Source organism: Homo sapiens, chromosome 6 (genome assembly GCF_000001405.40).
Source record: "Homo sapiens chromosome 6, GRCh38.p14 Primary Assembly".
NCBI lineage: Eukaryota > Metazoa > Chordata > Mammalia > Primates > Hominidae > Homo > Homo sapiens.
In genome coordinates this window covers 84,519,361-84,538,050 of record NC_000006.12, presented here as the reverse complement: position 1 = coordinate 84,538,050, position 18,690 = coordinate 84,519,361, and the positions used below count along the sequence as shown (strand labels likewise).

Below are 18,690 nucleotides of genomic sequence, written 5' to 3'. Positions count from 1 at the left end.
TATTTAGCTAATAATCCAAAGTCACATTTTAAAGAACTACAGCAAGTCCTGAAAATTAATCACTGAGAAGTATGCTCCTCAAATAATATGTAAACCCTTTACATTTTTAATGAATTATCTGGTTTATAAAATAAGTTGAAGTGACACTATTGGGCCAAACATGTAAAACAAACACTTTTTTATTGAGAGTGTGTCAACAGAACACCAAATGGTCAGATGAAAATGCAGGAAAAAACTGAATGTTCTATGTGTAAGATGTGTAACTGGACTTCTTTTTCTTCAAGTCTGTTTCTCCTCCCATTTTCCTTACCCTTACCTACCAGATTCTGTACACTTTCTTGTAATTCTTCATTTCTTTCAAAGAATGTACCTCTTTTTGTCGGAGTAACAGGAAAAAGACATCGCGCAAATACACCTTTTAATAGAAACGCACATTTCCCTTTGTTTACTTATATCCAGAGATCTCAAAATATACATCTGAAAGTTTTATATTAAAGCAAGTATTCTTAATTAAAGCTCTGGTCTCTTCTGAACTATGAAGACTAGACCAGACCAAGGACTGCCACATCATTTTTCTCCTCATTATCACCTCGTTAAGATCCCAGAACATGCCTCAGAGGCAGGGGGTTGAGACACGCAGCTTAACAAGGTGATAATGAGGAGAAAATGTCTCCAGTCTATTTGGGGCACAGCCCATGCCAGGTAGAATGATAGCAGACCAGGCTGGATGAGAGCAGGACACACTAGTTACTAAAATGTTTTTCTCTGAAAGTTTTGGCTATTTTAACATAAATTCTGGGTTTTTTTTCCCATTGATGAACTGAGATGAAAAAAATGATGACTTGCACCTAAGACTTTGACATAGAGACTGCAAGTAGCTTCCCAATATTCATTTGTTTATCCTGAGAAGTATGGACCTTGACACATAGATGGCGTTGCCATCTAGTTAAACTGGATTCTCTAATATTCCATGATCTAGAAGTGCCATGTGACTCTGCTTTGGCCAATGATATTTAAATGGAAGTATTTCTGCTAACTCCTAAAAGTGTCTTAAATGAAGGGAATTGCCTTTTCTTCACCTATTTTCTCCTTTCTGCTGACTGCAAAGTAGATATGCAAACTGGAGCTCAGGCAGCCATCTTGGACCATGAAGTGGTAAAACATAAAGATGAAAGGAATCTAGGCCTTTGTTACCATGTAGGTATTACACTATAGCAGCCTGGACAGCCTCCCTCTGGATTCTCTTACCTGAGAGAGGGACTATCCTGTTTAAGCCAATAGTTTTTGTTGCTGTTGGTACTGATAAATGACCTGAATCCAATACTACTACACATATTTTTAAAAAATTAACTGCTTTTCTGATGTTGTTTTAAATCTAATCCAAGGTGTACATCTCTCATCCTTAATTTTTCAGGTGTCAAATCCAGAGCACCTGGGAACAGTGGTGTGCTGGAGCTAGCTCACACAATCTCACAAAAGCCCATTTTTAAATGCAGGATTTTTCAAACCAATTGTTAAACACAGTCATTATTAAAACTTATATAAAATTTTAACTTTATAAATTATATTAAAATCAAAGGTAGTAAACCATTAAAAATTACCATTTCCTAATGATTTTACTTTTTTCTATGATCTTGAATTTATATCATACCAGGATGCTGGGAATATTATCTAATGGGGCTTTAGTGTACATTTCTTCACAATTCTGTTTAACAGCATAACAAGGGCAGCTTTAAATCAGTCATAGTGGGAGCATTTCCACCATGAAAATTGGCTATGCTACAAATCTGGGCTTGATGTTTGTTTTGTTCATTTTTTAGGCTTAAGAAAGTGATATGGAGAATGAGTTAATAAATCAAGTTACACTAAAAGTGAGTAATGGCTAGTGATGAAGTGAAAAGATGTTTCAATTTAATGAATAGTAATTTTTATGGAAGACAGAATAGTTTGACAATACGCTTTCTGTCAGATTTAATGAAAATAATTTTATTGGGTAAAGATTAGGATGCAACTTCATTTGTCAAATCATGGTTGAATTGCAATCACAGGTTGGCCACAGAACAGGAGCTCAGCAAAAATTAATAAAAGCATTCTGTGAGAATCAATTGGCTATGGAATTTCTAATGAAAATATTGCATTTTCATTATTTATAAATCATATAGTACACACACTTTAAATCAGTAAAATTTATAATAAACTTACGTAATGACATATATGTAGGCATACATGTATTTTTTTTCCAGAGAACCAGTTAAAAATTTACCAGCACACCACTGTCCAAGATCATCTGCTATTTATCCACTTTCTGCAGCCCATTCAATTGATTATTAAATCCTCTACATTTTGGTTCAGAAATGCTATTTGAATCATATATTTCTATCTACCTCATAGGTAATGTTGTAGGTTAGGTATTCATTTTCACTCTGGCTGCTCCCACTTTTATCTCCACCATTACTCTCAGTTCATATGCCACACCATCTCCATAAGGGTCCTTCAACAAGGTGGGTGTGGTACTGCCACTTCCCTGCTTAAAATCACTCAGTGGCTTTCAATGACTTAGAGGATAATACTTCAGCTGCTTGTCATGGCTCAAGCTACTGACACATCCCTTCAGTCATTCTGAACTCCTTGCTCTTCTCTTCCTTTATTCTACCATCAAGTGAGGGGGATTCAATACCATGAGACAGGGTGGCAAGAAAAGTGAGGGAGTTACCTTCAACTGAGGAAATTCTTTGAGAGGAATGCAGCTGCGAACCATCTGCAGTCAACATTCTCAGCACCTGGGAAAATGACGCATGCCCTGAAATAAGAGAGAATCTGGGGAGATGCACCACAGTGTTAACTACAGATAGTCTAAAGGAGATTGATGGTTTCATATCAAAGGACCAGAGGTTTCTCAACTATCCCCTTCTCCCTTTTTGAGTGTCTCCCTTCCCTCTGTCAATGTGAGATGATATTATTCTCTGATAAGTGTTTGAGATCCTATAGCACAGAGTTCCTTTCCCAAGTAATATAGAAAGATCCTAGGAAAGGTCTTAGACCAGCTCACAGAAATGTCCATGTCTTAATGTGATTGCAGAGCAGTAGAATTTTTCCTAGATACCTGATGTCTAGCTGCAAAATTGCTGAGAAAATTATCAGAATAAGAATCCTTTGAGTTAGGAATGTTATCTATTGATATTGGCATTCACTAAGATGTCTATCTATCTTCATTGATAGATTTCACATGTTGCTGCTGAGTGGTTAAGAGCTCTGTGAGAGATTGTCTCAAAGATGGTCACCAACAGTTCTTCCCATCTCTTAAACACATCCTGCTACTCCCATCAAGACATGAAATCTATTCCACTTCCCCTTGAATTTCAGTTGGACTTGTTTTGAGCACTAGAAAATAGCAGGAGTGATGCTCTGCCTCTTCAAGGGCACCTGCCTGGAAGCTTCCACAGTCACTCTTTTGGGACCCAGTCACTACTCTGTGAGGAGCTGATCTAGGCTACTGGAAGGAGAGAGGTCAAGTGGGGGAGAACTGAGATGCTAGGCCAACAACCAGGACCCCTTTCAGTCAGTCAGTGTATGGCCATCTTGTATGCTCCAATCCAACCTGAGCACCCACATGGCTGCAGCTACATAAAGAACTGCAGTTGATGCTGTGTGGAGCCGAAGAAAAACTCAGCTGAACCCAGCCAACATACAGAATCTTATACAATGACAAATCATTTTAAAATAGCTTATTGAGGTATATTTTACATACCACACAATTCACCCATCTAAATATATAATTAAATGGTTTTTAGTAAACCATTACATTCACAGAGTTATGTACCCATCAGCACGATCTAATTTTAAAACAACAATTTTATTCTCCAAAAAAGAAACTCCATGCACATTAGCACTCACTCCCCATTTTTATCCATCCCCCAGCCCTTGGCAACCACTAACCTACATATACTCTGAATAGATTCTGGACATATAATTTAAAATAATTATGTAACATTTAGTTATTTATGACTGGTTTCTATCACTTAGCATAATGTTTTAATTTTTTTTTTTTTTTTTTGAGACAGAGTCTTGCTCTGCCACTCAGGTTGGAGTGCAGTGTTGCGATCATAGCTCACTGAAGCCTCAAACTCCTGGGCTCAAGAAAATCTCTTGCCTCAATTTCTTGAGTAGCTAGGCCAATATGTGTGTGCCACCATGCTCAGCTAATGACCTCAAGTGATCCTCCTGCCTCAGCCTCCCAAAGCCCTGGGATTATATGTGTCAGCCAAAATGCTTGGCATATTATGTTCTTGAGATCCATTTTTGTTGAAGCAAGTATAAGTACTTCTTTTATTTTAATACTTAATAATACTCTATTCTACAGATAGACCACAATTTATTTAGCCATTCATTAGTTGATGGACATTTTTATTGTTTCCACCTTTCTACTATTATAAAAAATACTTCTATGAACATTCATGTACAAAATTTTGCATGACAAATATTTTAATTTATTTTGAGTATATATCCAGGAGTAGAATTGTTGGATCATATGGTAACTTTATGTTTAACATTTTGAAAAAATGCCAGTTTCTTAAAGTAGCTTTACCATTTTATATTCCCCCCATCAATGTATGAGTGTACTAATTTCTCCATATCCTTGTTAACAATTTTTTTTACTTGTTCTTTTGATTATAGTAAACTTAGTGAGTGTGAAGTGGTATCTAATTTTGGTTTCAAATTGCATTTTTCTAATGGCTACTGACATTGAGCATCTACTCAATGTTTATTAGCCATTTGTATATTTTCTTTGAAGAATTATGTATTCAGATACTTTCCCCATTTTTTTCAGCTGGACTATTTGTTTCTGTATTGTTGAGTTGTAAAAGTTCTTTATATAGTCTGAATACAAGTTTCTTATCAGAAATATAATTTGAAAATATTTTCTTCTATTCCATGGATTACCTTTTCATTCTCTAGATGGTTTCGTTAGAAGCACAAAAGTTTTAAATTTTGAACTACAGCTTACAATATATAGCTTAGCTCATCAGAGTCTGCTTCAGATTTATACTGCCTTAGTTCTAGTGAAATATAGAAACTTTACTCTCATATAGCTATGTTCCCTCCTCCTCCATTTTCTAAGCTATTCATTCTTATACCTATTATGTTTACATTTTATAAACTCAGCAATATGTTGATATAGTTATTACTTTATATAATCTTACATCTTTTAAAGCAGCTGACAGAAAGAACAAGTATGTATTTAGAAAGTCTGCTATATTAACTTTTATTTGCCCTTTCTGGTTCTCTTTGTTTCTTTCTGTGGATTTTGGTTACCATCTAATACCATTTCTTTGCTCCAACACAGCTTTGCTCCCACCTGCCTCCTTTGTGTTGTTATTGTCAAGTATATTACATTTCTATATGTTATTGGCCCAACAATAAAATTATATGCATATTGTTTAATGCAATTATGATTTAAATCAGTTAAAAGAAGACATGAAATATGCAGTTATGTTGTCTCTCACAATTACATACATAATTACTTTTATTAGCACTCTTTGTTTTTTCATATAGGTGTATATTACTGCCTGGTGTCACTTGCTTTCAGCCTGAATAACATCTGTAAGTATTTCTTGTAAGGGAAGTCTGCTAGCAATGAATTATCTTAGTATTGTTTAACTTTGAATATTTTTATTTCACTGTTCTATTTTAAAGGCCTTTTGCTTTATATAAGATGTTTAGTTGGCATTCTTTTTCTTTCAATGCTTAGAATATGTCATTTCACTTCCTCTGGCCTGCGTTGCTTTCATTGAGAAGTCAGCTCTTATTCTCACTGACATTCTCTGATATGTGAAGCATTGTTTTTCTCTTGCTACTTTTAAGATGTTATTTTTATCTTTGATTTTAAACATTTTTGTTATGATTTTTCTGTGTGTGGATCTCTTTGCTTTTAACTTGTTAAGAGTTCATTTATCTTCTTGGTTGTATAGACCAGTGTTTTTCATCAAATTTTGGAAGTTTTCAGCCATTATTCCTTTAAATAATGTTTCTATCCCTTTCTCTCTCTCTGTTTCTGGTACTCCTATTAAATGTATGTTTGTGTGCTTAATGTTGCTCCACAATTTTCTGAGTTCTGTTCATTGTTTTCATTCATTTTTTTCTCTCAGTTTCAGCTTCCATAATCTCTGTTGACTTACCTTTAAGTTTGCTGATTCTTTCTTCTGCCAGCTCAAATCTGTTGTTAGGCCCCACTAGTAAATTACTCACTTTATTTTACTTTTCAACTCAAGAATTTTCATTTTGTTCTTTTTATAATTTCTATCTTTTTATTGCTATTCTCTATTTATGAGACATCATCATACCTTCCTTTTGCTCTTTAATCAAGATCTTGTTTGTTTCTTCAAACATATTTATAACAGCTGCTTTGAAGTCTTCGTCTTCTAAGTTCACTATCTAGGGCCCCTTAAGAGTACTTTCTATTACCTGTTGTTTATTTTCCCTGAGTATGGGTGACACTTTACTACATCTTTGAATGTCTCATAATTTTTATTGAAAACTGGATATAAATCTGGATACTGAGTCTCCCCATCCCCACCAGGGTCATTATTATTCACTTGGTCATTTTGGTTATTTGTTTAAAAACTTAGCTGAACTAATTCTGTGCAGCCTATTATTTTCCTGATCTTTTCTTTCTTTTATTTTTATCTTTTATCTTGGCTACTTAGAGATTGCCCCTGAGTTGGCATAAGCCACTTATTGTTAAGTGATTATGCTTACGCCCCTCAGCGAATTAGAATTTTACCCTTTACCACTATGTATGTGTATGGCTTGGAGGCTGCTATTAAAGTTCAGGGAGTTTATATATTTTTCCCTATTCAGCCAGAGATTAGTAGCTTGAACATTTTCTTCCTTAGAATTTTTGAGAATGTGCAGTCATGAGCATACATACATTCTTCCAAAGTGCCAGAAATTACTGTGATTTAAAAAAAATCTGACTTTTTATTAGTCATGTCATATCACAGTAGTTTATTGTTTGATCTGTGTTCAATCAGAAGTTGTGTTTAAGCCCCTCACACCATGAGGCTTCCACCCTGTGTGAATGGGTCTGTGTGGAGGCTGGGGAATGTTTTAAAATGTGTACTACATCCTGCTGGATTGGTCCTGTGAGAGTGCACCCTATCACACGCACAAAGTCTTCCCAAGCCTCATACTAGAATGTGAACCCACAAGGGCTCTTCATTACTGTCACTCAAATTCTCTGGTCCTCTCTTTAAATTTTATGGTGCTCTGACATTTTGATTTTATCAAGAAACTAACAGCCTCCTCTTATTTGCTCACCACCAAAATCTCTGTTGTTTTTGACATTGCCCTTAGGCATGGAGTTCTCCATGCTCTGTTCTAAATAAAAGTCATTCCTTTTGGCAGAACTGTAGGAATCTTTGTCCATATAGCCTTTCTTTTCCTCTGGGCAGAACTCCTGTACCACTATACTAAAGCTGGTGGTAAATATCTTCTTTTCCCACAGTGGCCCTCTCACTGAACAAGTGGCCACTGGCAGACCTTTGTCTTCTTGGCTCATCCTTCCTTGGCATGGAATCTTATATGCAAACTGGGCTGGAAGCAATTTTGAGCCCTAGTATTTTTGATTTGCTGTACATGGAGTAGAGCTTCTGCCTTACAAGTGATCACTGGATAGGGGAGAGGAGAGTCCATCTTCTTGGGTGCATTTGACTGGACTAGAGTGTCTGCAATATAGGGCTGGGTTGGCATATGAGAAACACCAGCAGCTCACCCTTATCAGGGTGAAAACTACCTCAAACTGGAAGTGAGGATACAGAGAGGGAGCCCCTGTATTTTTGGTAACTTCTGTATGGAGTAGAGTCCCTGGGATAGAGTTTGGAGAAAAAAGAACTGGGGAGGGGTAAGAAAACAGGTCATGGCTCAAATGTCACAGACTCTCATTATTCCTACTGAGCTTTAGTAGAGTTTCTTTAATAAAGATTTCTCCATTTGCTATATGCCCTTGGAATAATTTCCAGATGCTTTAAATGATTATTTTTATAACTATCATTCTAAGCTCTTTATTCTGCCATTCTAGAAGTTCCATACAAATCATTTTTTTAAGCCACCAAGTTTTCAGGTAGCTTGTCGTGCAGCAATAGACAACTGAACCAGACTCTAAACCCAGATAGAGCTACATGGAAATCCCAGCTCTACTACTAGTTGTGATTTTGGACAAGTTTTCTGAACTAACTGAACTTCTGTTTTCCTGTGTATAAAATGAGGTAATTCTTACTACATACTTTGCAAGGAATAATTGAAATAATGTTTATAAGGCATCTGATAGCATAAATCAATTACTTAGTAAATGGTAGGGTGTTAGCAGTACTAATAGTAAAGGTAACAAGGAGTATAAAAACTCACAAGAAGGATAAATCTAGACAACTGACAAGTTAGTTGCTATACATGCAGAAGTGTATCATGTTCTATGATTTACAGAAGAACTTAAAAGAGAGGCAAGAACTGGAGAAACAGACTTGAGAGGTCATTGCTTTCTGAGAAAAGAAGAATTGTAATTAAATATAATTCACCAAAAAAAACTTTTATAGAGAGAATACAGCAGATGCAAAACTTTTGGAAACGAATTCAACCAGAGAGCAGGAATGAGTAGAGGAATGCTAAAATGACAACAAAAGGAAAGTTCAGATAATTTGAAGAGTCAAGAGAATACAGGCACTTTGAAGCCCAAGGCAGAAAAAGCATTGAAAAGGTGCTTATGTGGGAGGAAAAAGATGATGAGAAAAGATCACTGGAATCTTTTGAACACACACTTCTCATAGAGGGGTGATGGTAGAAGCTAATTGCTAGAAGTAATTGAGAAGTATGGAAGCAGGGGTGGTGGAAAGACCTAGAAGTATTAGCCACTTGAAAGAGGAGCCCGAAGGATACTTCCTCTTGTTTTGTTTTTGTGTGTTTGGTTTTTAGGGTGAGGATGTGCTTTTATAAAGAGGGAAATTAGAGTGTTTAGGGGTAGAAGATGCAAAAAGAGGGTGCTGTCACTCACTTTCTCTGGTGATAAAGGGTAGTAAAGCTAGCACAAGGGATGGGACTGTTGCCACAGGTGGAAGGTCAGTCTGCTATAGGGCTTTGAGGAGTGATGCATATGAAAACACTATATTAATACATAGCTGTTCGGGGTAGAAAGGAGAGAGGAGCTACATCACATACTCTCAGGCCTTCCTGAAAAATATAAGACAAAACCATACGCAAAGACACTCAGGAAAGTGAACATCTGATTTAATAGGGAGGCAGAGCTTGGGAAAATGTATAAAGAAAATGTCGGAAATGTAATGAGTCAAATGTTAACAATTGTTTCCCCGGTGGTAGGATTATCAAAAATTCGTATCATGGTCTTCTCCTTTTCATCCTTCCCCTCCTCTCCCTTCTTCTTTGTAAACTCCATATTTTCTATAATGTGGAAGAATAATGGCATGGAAAGAAAAATTTTATTTAATGGTTACTTTAATTGATTAGAATAAGGTACTAAAAACACACACAGTTGTAAATTCTTGCAGAAGGGTAAACTTGTTCTAAAGATAAAATCTTGTCATGGGCTGCATTTTTATGCCAATCATGCTTCTTTCAAAACTCTGACTTTGATTGACAGCAACAGGTGGTGAAGCAAAACATTTGCTCACTTTTGAAATGACAAATCAAGGGGTATATATTGGCAATTTTACAGGTTGGTATTATATTAAGATAAGCTAAGAGTATTCTAGCAAGTATGGCAAAATCTTCAGAGTATCTTTGTTAATGTCAAGGTTACTAAGAATAGATTAGTATTCAAATAGGAAGTCATGGGTATCTATCTTTTGACAAAGTAATCTTAGAATAAAAATATGTGTATAAAGTAAGGTGAGTCAAATGGTTCAGAGAGAAAAGAGAATGGGGAATCTAGATTAATTGCCTTCAGATTAACAAACAGCAGTCTATCAGGGACTCTCAGATGATGTGGCTGATTTTGATTATTACCTCTTTCCCTCGTTCCTGCCAGGCCCTCTGTCAGCACCCTCTGTAAGACTAGTCAAAAGCCCATCAGATATAATCAACTTATATCAATTTTATAATCAATAATACAAAGCATTTGTGGGGTTTTATGTGTTTCATTTGTTTGTTTTCAGGTTTATAGAGTGCCACTATACCAGATATTGAACAGAATTTGTAGACAAATTTAAGAAATGACTAATCTGGATTGGCAAATATTCATTGGATGACTAAATAGGTATTTGGGGACCAAGTTGGCATAAACGAGGTTTAAGAAGTTGAGGTTAATCAACAATGGGAAAAGATAAAAAACAAAGACTGGGGAGGCAAGAGTGGGGTCAGAAAAGTCAGGCATCTGGGGGTGGGATAGGGTATGGGACAGAGTGAGGAAGAAGCAAAAGGAATAATAATTCAGGTAAGTTTTGGACAACCACAGCCAGGCTCGCAGAGATTCTTTTCTTGTAACTCAAAGTTATTCCATGTCACAAAGGGGACATCTGGCAATGAAGACTTCTAATACCTGGATTTATTCTGTTTCCCCCACTTCTCACTCCTGACGAGCTGTTCAGTTAGCAGTTTAGCAGTTCCGACTACAATCTGACTCAAATATTTTTAACAATCTTTACAATTTTGTTATCACGTCTACTTAACTACTTCTAAAAGTAGTTATGGTGAGAGAAACCTCTGTGGCTTACAGTCTTGGACCTAGTGACTCTATTTGCATTATCTGAAGAAATTAAAAATGTTCATTTGGACAAAAGGTAAATAACAAAAGAACAAATATTTGTGTCAGGGAAAAATGAGGCAGAAACAGCCACTTAAGTTTAATTGCTCTCATAGCACCAGTTTGACCATCAATGGAGGTATGGGAAGAAGAAATATAGTTGAAGTAGATACCAAGGCCAACTTCCTTGGGGACTTTCCTCTTTTACTCCCCATAGACAGGGCCTATAGACAGATGAGAAACTGCCAACTACCCTATATTTGGCAATTAAACAGGGTGTTGAAAAAGTACCAAAACCAGATTTGCTACCTGTTCAAGAGAAACTGTAATTCAAAGACATTTCTAGCAAACAACCCCAAATTCCTGCTTGATAAAAAAAGGTACTTCTCCAAAATTATCTGATCTTGACTCAGGTCTACTCCTGAACTCATTCATTTACTTCCTGTTAGTGGTTTCTGGTGTAATTCCGTTGTAGTCTGAGAGCTGACATTGTATGACTTCTATTCTTTTAAATTTGTTAAGGTGTAGTTTATAGCTTAGGATGTGGTCTATCTTGGGAAATGTTTCATGTGAGCTTGAGAAGAATATGTAATCTGCTTTTGTTGGATGAAGTAGCCTATGGCTGTCAATTATATCTTGTTGATTGGTGGTGCCGTTGAGTTCAACTGTGTCTTATTGATTTTCTGCCTGCTGGATCTGTTCATTTTTAATGGAGGGTGTTAAAGTCTCCAATTGTAACAGTAGATTCACCTATTTCTCCCTACAGTCTATACGTTTTTGTCTCATTTTTAAATGATCTGTTATTATTCATTCATTTACTCAACAAATATTAGTTTCTTTTGTGAGCCAGCACCAATCTAGATGCTGGGATACAAGGGTAAACAAAACAGACAAGATCTTTCTCTCTTGCAGCAGCTTGTGGGTCTAGTGGAGGGATTTAAACAATGAACATGTAAAACAGAATTTCCTATTCCAATGCTGACTGTTCCCCTGAAAGGCTATCATCAGGCCAGCTATTAGACAGTTTTCCTCTGGAAAGGAAAAACATGTAGATTGCCCAGCCAGTGCACAAGCGTCAAACTTAATATTGGAACAAGTTTAATTCAGCTGATGATGCAAGTGATCAAAAGGTGACCCAGTAAGAGGAGAGCAAGTGCTGTCTCTCTTACTCAAGTCATTGATAACGTGCTTCTGTTTAAAACAGTCAGTCCCAGCTGCTCTGTGTGGCTTCCAGGATTCTTCATGGTTCTGGCCCTGCCTACCTCACTAATCTTATTTCCCACCACTGTTACTTGGCTCCTGTGCTCCATGGTTGAACACACTTTATTACTGCATATTTTGTTCTCTCTGCCTGAAGTGCAACCCCCTGATATTGCTTGTATGAAAAATTCACATTCATAAATGAGGACCCTTCCTTAGTGCTACCTTCTTTATGACTTTTTCTCTGACCTTTTTACACATTAATGACTAGCCCCTTTATGCCGCCATGGTCCTTGTATTACTTATCACAATTGTTCACTTCTCCCAACAAGACTGTACCCTCTGGAGGTAAGAATTTATAGTATTCACTTTATGTTGCCCCAAGGGTCTAGATCACTGCTTAGGACTAAATGGGCATAACAATTATTTATTGAATAAACAAATGGATGAATTAACTAATTAATGAACAAATGAAGGAATCCTGGGTAGGATTTTAAATGAAGACAAGAAATTGGCAAATAATTCTATATGAATCAGTCAGCAAATTAATCTTATTGTTTATATCGTATGTTGTATATATATGTGTGTGTATGTACTACATATATACATTATATATGTATATGTGTGTATGTACTACATATATACATTATATATATGTATATGTGTGTATGTACTACATATATACATTATATATATATGTATATGTGTGTATATATAGTGTTCAACATCAAGGAAACTTATAGAAGCATCAAATAAATGGTCCTTTACCTCCTGGACTATCCAATGTACAGAATTTAAGAAAACAAGACTAATAAAAAATAGGAAGTGACACAAATAAATGGAACATCAACTCACAAACCCAACCCAATTTCTGCAGACAGATCTGCAGGCTAGAAGAGTAATTTTGAAGATGGCCATGTCTATAATGAGGTAAAGAAATCTCAGACAGGCTTTTAAAAGGTTATTCCTGTTAAGTCAAGATAAAAGTGTATTTTAGAGGTAAGATAAACAGCATAAGTAAAGGTAGGTGGAAAGGGAATAAGTCTACAATAGAACTGGCCTGATAATCCACAATTGCCCGTTGGAATACAAATCTCTTGATAAAGGATGATCCCAGGGGCTGCTACAGTGACTTCAGTGGCTTTCAGGGTCACATGGAATGAACTCAGCTGGCTGCAAAGTGTTTCAAGGGTGATGCTGAAATGAATCTGACCTGCCTCCAAAAGTCAATCAGATACCTAAGTCAAAGTCGAGTCATGCTTGTGAGTCAAACCAGGGCAGTGTAGTGTCAAAGTGCATGGAACAGGCATAGTCACCATTCTACTTGTTAACAACACAAGGGCTTAACCACGCTAATTTAGGATGGTTTTTGACAGAAAGCCCTTTCCAGATCTGCATATGTGTTATATACTTATCTCGGGCTAAGTATGTGTTTACTCTTCTTCTTAGCTTCATTGAACAATGAAGATCTATTTTTAAAGAAAATTAGCGATTTATAATGAGAAAGTTTTCCCACAAAAGTTCCTCTTGGATAGAAAGAGGAAATAAATATTGACTTTGTGCTCCTCTTGTGCCAGGAATATTTGAGTTTCAAAACCATCCTAGAATGTGATATCATTAGACCCACTTTACAGATGAAGAAACCGAAACTCAAAGTAGTGACTTCCTCAAAGGTTCATATGCTAGGATTCAAACCTTGGGCCTTGTGACTCCAATGCTCAGACTCTTCCCACTGAACCTCCATTACAACTGTTGCTCACAGAAAACACACAACCCCCATCACACACGTGCACATGCACGCACGCGCTGTTTTAAGATGTACCAATTGTGCACTTCTCAAATCTAAGAAAACTCATTTTCTGTTTTATGGTCTTAATATTTAATAGGGAGAAAGAACTTTTTGAAAGCTCTAGCTAGAGGTTTAAATACATTCAAAAATAAATGCCTGAGAATTTGGAGCTAAGCAAGGGAGTAAAATGCTCTAATCTTCCACCTAGTGAAAGGTCAGGACAAAGTAAGATAAAGAAAACAAACTCTATACAAATGTACAACACAGAGCTGCCTGCATAGTAAGATTAGAGCTCCAAACAGGGTCTGTCTGGCCCCGAGTATCTTTCTCTCTTACCTGTTAAGGTATGTAGGTCCATATCAGTAAAAACTTCCCTCGGTTAGACATTTCCCCAAGAAGCCTATGTTAAAGTGTTCAGATCGTTTATTACAGTTATTTCAAATATAACTCCAGACATGTGTATTTGACTAGAGGCTGGAGAAGGTGAGAAGTGGAAGTTCTAATGGGGAACCACAGTGCTGAGAGAGACCAATCATGCCTCAGTGTGGGACCCTGGGTTGCTAAAGAAAGGAAACTGGCTACACCATTGAGTATAAAACTCAACACAAAATATTCGTTAATTCTCTCAGGGGATTCCATTTAAGTGGAGACAAAGATTACAGGAGTTAAACACATGTGTGTTAGGGTCAGAACTCACCACATGCAAAACAAGGCTATCCTATAAGGTGGTGAGCTCCTTGACACTGGAAATATTTGGGGAGGTTGGATACACCCATGGAAGGGATGTCATGGGAGACTGGAGTAGCTGTGTTTAGAGTCCCTTCCAATTACAAAATGCTGGGAGGATTCTATAAATAATTTTGCTAGATTTCAGAGATTCCTGGTACCATTTTATTGTCATTTTCATTCATTCATTCATTTAGTCCACAAACATTCATTTAATTATTAAATGCACAATTGGGGAAACTCTATTATCTGATCTAGGGTTTATCTATAATATGCATACAGAATCATATATGGTACTAATTCTATGGATAGTTCTTTGTGAATAAAACTGAAGGCTGTAGGTCCAGACTTATAATACACATTATACAACGTTAGCTTAAAGTGAATGTATCAATCAGTATAAGCTAGGTTATGCAGTGCAGTAACAAACCCATCCTGAAGCCTCAGTAACAACACAACCAATGCCTGTTTTGGATTTTTCCCCCTTATTCATGTGCCATGTTCAGTTACAAGCTCTGGTCTCTCTAGTCACTCAGAGACATGGAAGACATAGTACAAGGAGTGATTTAGAAAGATTGGGCAATACCAAAAAAAAAAAAGAGAGAGAGAGAGAAAGATAACAGATTAGAATAGTTAGTCCAAAACACAGGTATCAATTAGGTCATTTAAAAAAGTTTAGTTCAAATGGGTTCAGAATGTTATCTGAATACTTGAAGGTAGAAATGATAACGAAAACATGTAGCAACAAGTATTATATAAACATTACCCAGTCAGGTATGGCATCGGCATATACCTGATTAGGCTCTACCAGAGCAGACCTGCTGGAGATCAGCCCTACCTAAAGGGAGAAAGAGCCTGAGAATGGAGATGTTCACAAAATAGGTAGAGACCAATGCTAGTCAAACAGAATCAGCATTCCCTGAATTTTACAGTCCAGTTCAGTGTTAAATCAATTGGACTGCAAGATTAATTTGTGTTGACCATAATTCAGTGAGAGCGGATTAATCCACTCTATGATACTGCTGCCCTTGCATCCCTGGATTTCTTCTTTTCAGACTGCCTATGGCCTCCCTTCTTGTCTTTACTCTGTTCCAATGATTTGCTCTCCCTAATTGTGCATCCCCCATCATTTGTCAAGTGCTTGATAAATGTGGACATTTCTTCTTTGTTTTCTTCACATTCTGTTCCTCTCATGAGTCATTTCTGAGGGCACTGAATCATTTTCATCATTGCTCAGCCTCCTCCTGTTTGAAGTCCTTGCCTGGATACAGGCTTATTCATCACCACTCTCTCTACAACCCACATGTGTCCAGCACACTGTTTACATTGGGCTTTAATCTGTTGTTAGTGGCCAACTCTAGTGTCCCCTTCTTCCCCAAGGGGCCCATCCCTGTTTCTCCTGCCTGTACAGCTCCCAGTGGGAGAGTGCAAAGAGCAGAAGTTCTGGCCCTTAACCTTGGCGTATGGACTCTTGCCCAAATCTTCATTCCAGACCTCCCCCTTTGCTTGTCTTTTATAGCAGCTTCTTCCTTGGCATTGTACAGCCAAAGAAGCAGAAATGGGGTCCCCTCCAAGGTGGGCTCAGAGACCATCCTGGGATAATAGGCTGAGATGGGGGCTTATATGTTCTTTCATTCTACTTATCTTCTAATGTATGTTTTCCTCTTGCTACAAATGCCCATGTTTTCTCTTGTTTTGTTTAAGTGCACTTCAAAGTGCAAATTAGATAATCCCCACTGGTCCATGGAATGCACTGTTTTATGACCCTGAACACTGGGATTTTGCATGAACACGTTGATATTTAGTAATTGGTAATAGATCTTGACATTTCAACAGGCTCCAATGGGTTATCCTCCATTCTCCTTTCACCTCCCCCCAGCTAAGTTGCTGTGGAATTGATTTATGAAACTAGCTTGCTTTTTACTTATTTTATTCCTCATCATTCATATTTACTGTTACCCACACTTGACCTTGTGACTCTAATTCCTTAAACTGAATAATGTACACACATTGACTTTGTTCTTCTTGACAGGTCTTATCATTTTTTATCTTTGCCCTCCCTCTTTCAGCCTTTTAAAGATCTAGGGCTTTCTGAGTCTCTTATCTGTTTACATTCTTCTTCATTATTTAGTATTAATGTTCTTCTTTCAGTCATTATTCTCTAGGTTGTTATTTTCCCTCATTTACTGATTTTGGTCTTTCTGTCACTAAGCCAGATCTCTCACTACCACATTTGAGAGGCCAATTATAGTTTCAGCCATGAAACTAATTCAGATGTTATAAAGAAAAAACTCTGTAACCAAGGATTCAGCAACAGTTCAATGAGATCTTGCCTGAGACTTTTAGTGTCATTTAAGAACATCATTTGTGAGTTGTTGCTCTGAGTATCTGTTTAATTAGGGAAGGAAGATCACTTGGTAGTTAAAGAATAGGATATAAATTTGGCCCTTAAATAATTCTCAGGCCACAGATACACCAAAGGACACATGTGGCAGTGATTTGTTCAGTGGTGTTACATAGGAAGAGTATGCTGTCCTTTGGGAATATTTTTCACAAAGTCATGAATTGGTAACTAAGCATTACTGTGCATCCAATGATCTAGGTACAAATGATATTCCTTTTCTTATCTTCTTATGAAGTAACATAATGAAGGTTGGCAGGAAAATCAAGTAAATACTAGTAATTCTGCATATGTACTTTTTACAGTTTGAATGATTAGTTCCATTATTTAGATTTTTTTTTCTGCTAAAACTAAATGCAGGCCAGTTTCATATGATCCCCCTGGCTGGGGGAAGTGTCAAGTGTCTCCCAACTGCACATTATAGAGGGAACTAAGAGGAACTATTACCCTGGTGCAAAACCAATCTATTACCGGACTAGAAAAATGATGTTAAACTTTTGAGACACAGAGAGTAAGTTAGACCCATGCTTTTGAGATGAAAGGACTCTTTTGTTATTCCTGTAATATCATTACTATTATTAGCATTACCATTATTATTATCATAACATGTCACATACCAGGTTCAGTGTAGACAGCTCAAAGACACGTAGTTCTTATCCTAGCTTAAAGTTTTTTTAATACTACTATGTGGACTAATACTGTGTTTCTACTGGCTGGCAAAACATCACTGTGATACAACAAAATAATTAGAGTCATCAGGAAGTGATGTCTGCAAAACAGGGAGTTAGGAATTTAGAAAAGAACCATTCAATGATTTTTGATATCAAAGAATTGCCACACATCTTAGATTTTTCAGTGTTGCTTTTTGTCCCAGGGTCTCTAAAAGACATTCTTACCACAGAAGCCAGGACAGCATCAGCAAGCAGTTTCTATTTGTACAGCCCTCAGTTTTTCTTCCTTCATCTATTTGTTCCCCAACCAATAAAAGATAAAGGATAAATAATGCCGTAACATTTTCCTCCTGAAGAAAATTTTCTTTGAAAACTATCTTTTGTTTACCTGATTAACTGCCTTCCGATACAAGTCACCAAAATTGACCAGAGCTATTTGCACCTTAAAGCAGGTCAAGTCTTTGAAGTTATAAATATTGATTAGTCATTCACAGCAAGGGCCCTACCCCTAGGTTGGATGTGATTACCTGGATCCAAGTAAGTTGCTGCAAACAAAATAAAGACAAAAACATAAATGGAATGGCTCAAAAACTATAGGTCATTTTTTCCACTTTACAGTCCATGGAGTAGGCAGGTAAATGCCTCTTGTCTTCAGTGTCATCCAGGGATGTAGGTTCCTTCTGTGTGGCTCCTTCTGTTTGCAAATTCCTAGGATTATAACCTTGCTTATATGGTTGAAGTAGGGTCACTATCCTAAATCCAGCCTGTGGGAAGGGAGAAAAGAAATGGAGGTAAGCAGCTTTCTTTCCAAGGACATGGCCAGAAGTTATGTACACCACTTGCGCTCCCATTTAAATGTCAAGAAATGAGTCACCTGGTCACACATGGCTATAAAAAGGGCCTGGAAAGGCTGGGTGGGCATGAGCCTCATTTAAATTTGAAGGTAGGTTTTCTCTAACTAAAGAGATGAACAGACAAATGGATCCTGGGGGCAGTTAGTTGTCTCTGCCACACTTACTGTAATTGGGAAAATACTGTTATTGTAAATGTAAATGTTCAGAGAAATCCACGTGTGTGTGTGTGTGTGTGTGTGAGTGTTCTGTGCTCTGAGATTTTCCACACATTCACTAATAAGTGTTTCCCCAATACATTTAAT

At 37.0% G+C, this 18,690-nt stretch overlaps 1 long non-coding RNA gene across 2 annotated transcripts in view, besides 1 other annotated feature; it reads right to left on the bottom strand.

Moving 5' to 3' along the window:
* Positions 411–919: an enhancer, noted in NCBI's record as "NANOG hESC enhancer chr6:85246850-85247358 (GRCh37/hg19 assembly coordinates)". NCBI's record gives its function as "activates a minimal SCP1, AML or CMV promoter by ChIP-STARR-seq in primed H9 embryonic stem cells {active_cell/tissue: H9 hESC(primed)}" and the evidence as "EXISTENCE:reporter gene assay evidence [ECO:0000049][PMID:30033119]".
* Positions 9,394–18,690, bottom strand: part of LOC107986620 (uncharacterized) — a 175,866-nt gene continuing 166,569 nt past the window's right edge. Inside the window, exons 3-4 of one of the 2 annotated variants that reach the window (XR_001744236.1) lie at positions 18,062–18,298; positions 9,394–9,447 (exon numbers count right to left, since the gene is read on the bottom strand). This is a non-coding gene — a long non-coding RNA (uncharacterized LOC107986620). Of the gene's footprint in view, positions 9,448–12,722; positions 18,299–18,690 lie in introns of those variants that run through there. The other variant, XR_001744235.2, reaches the window with a different exon arrangement.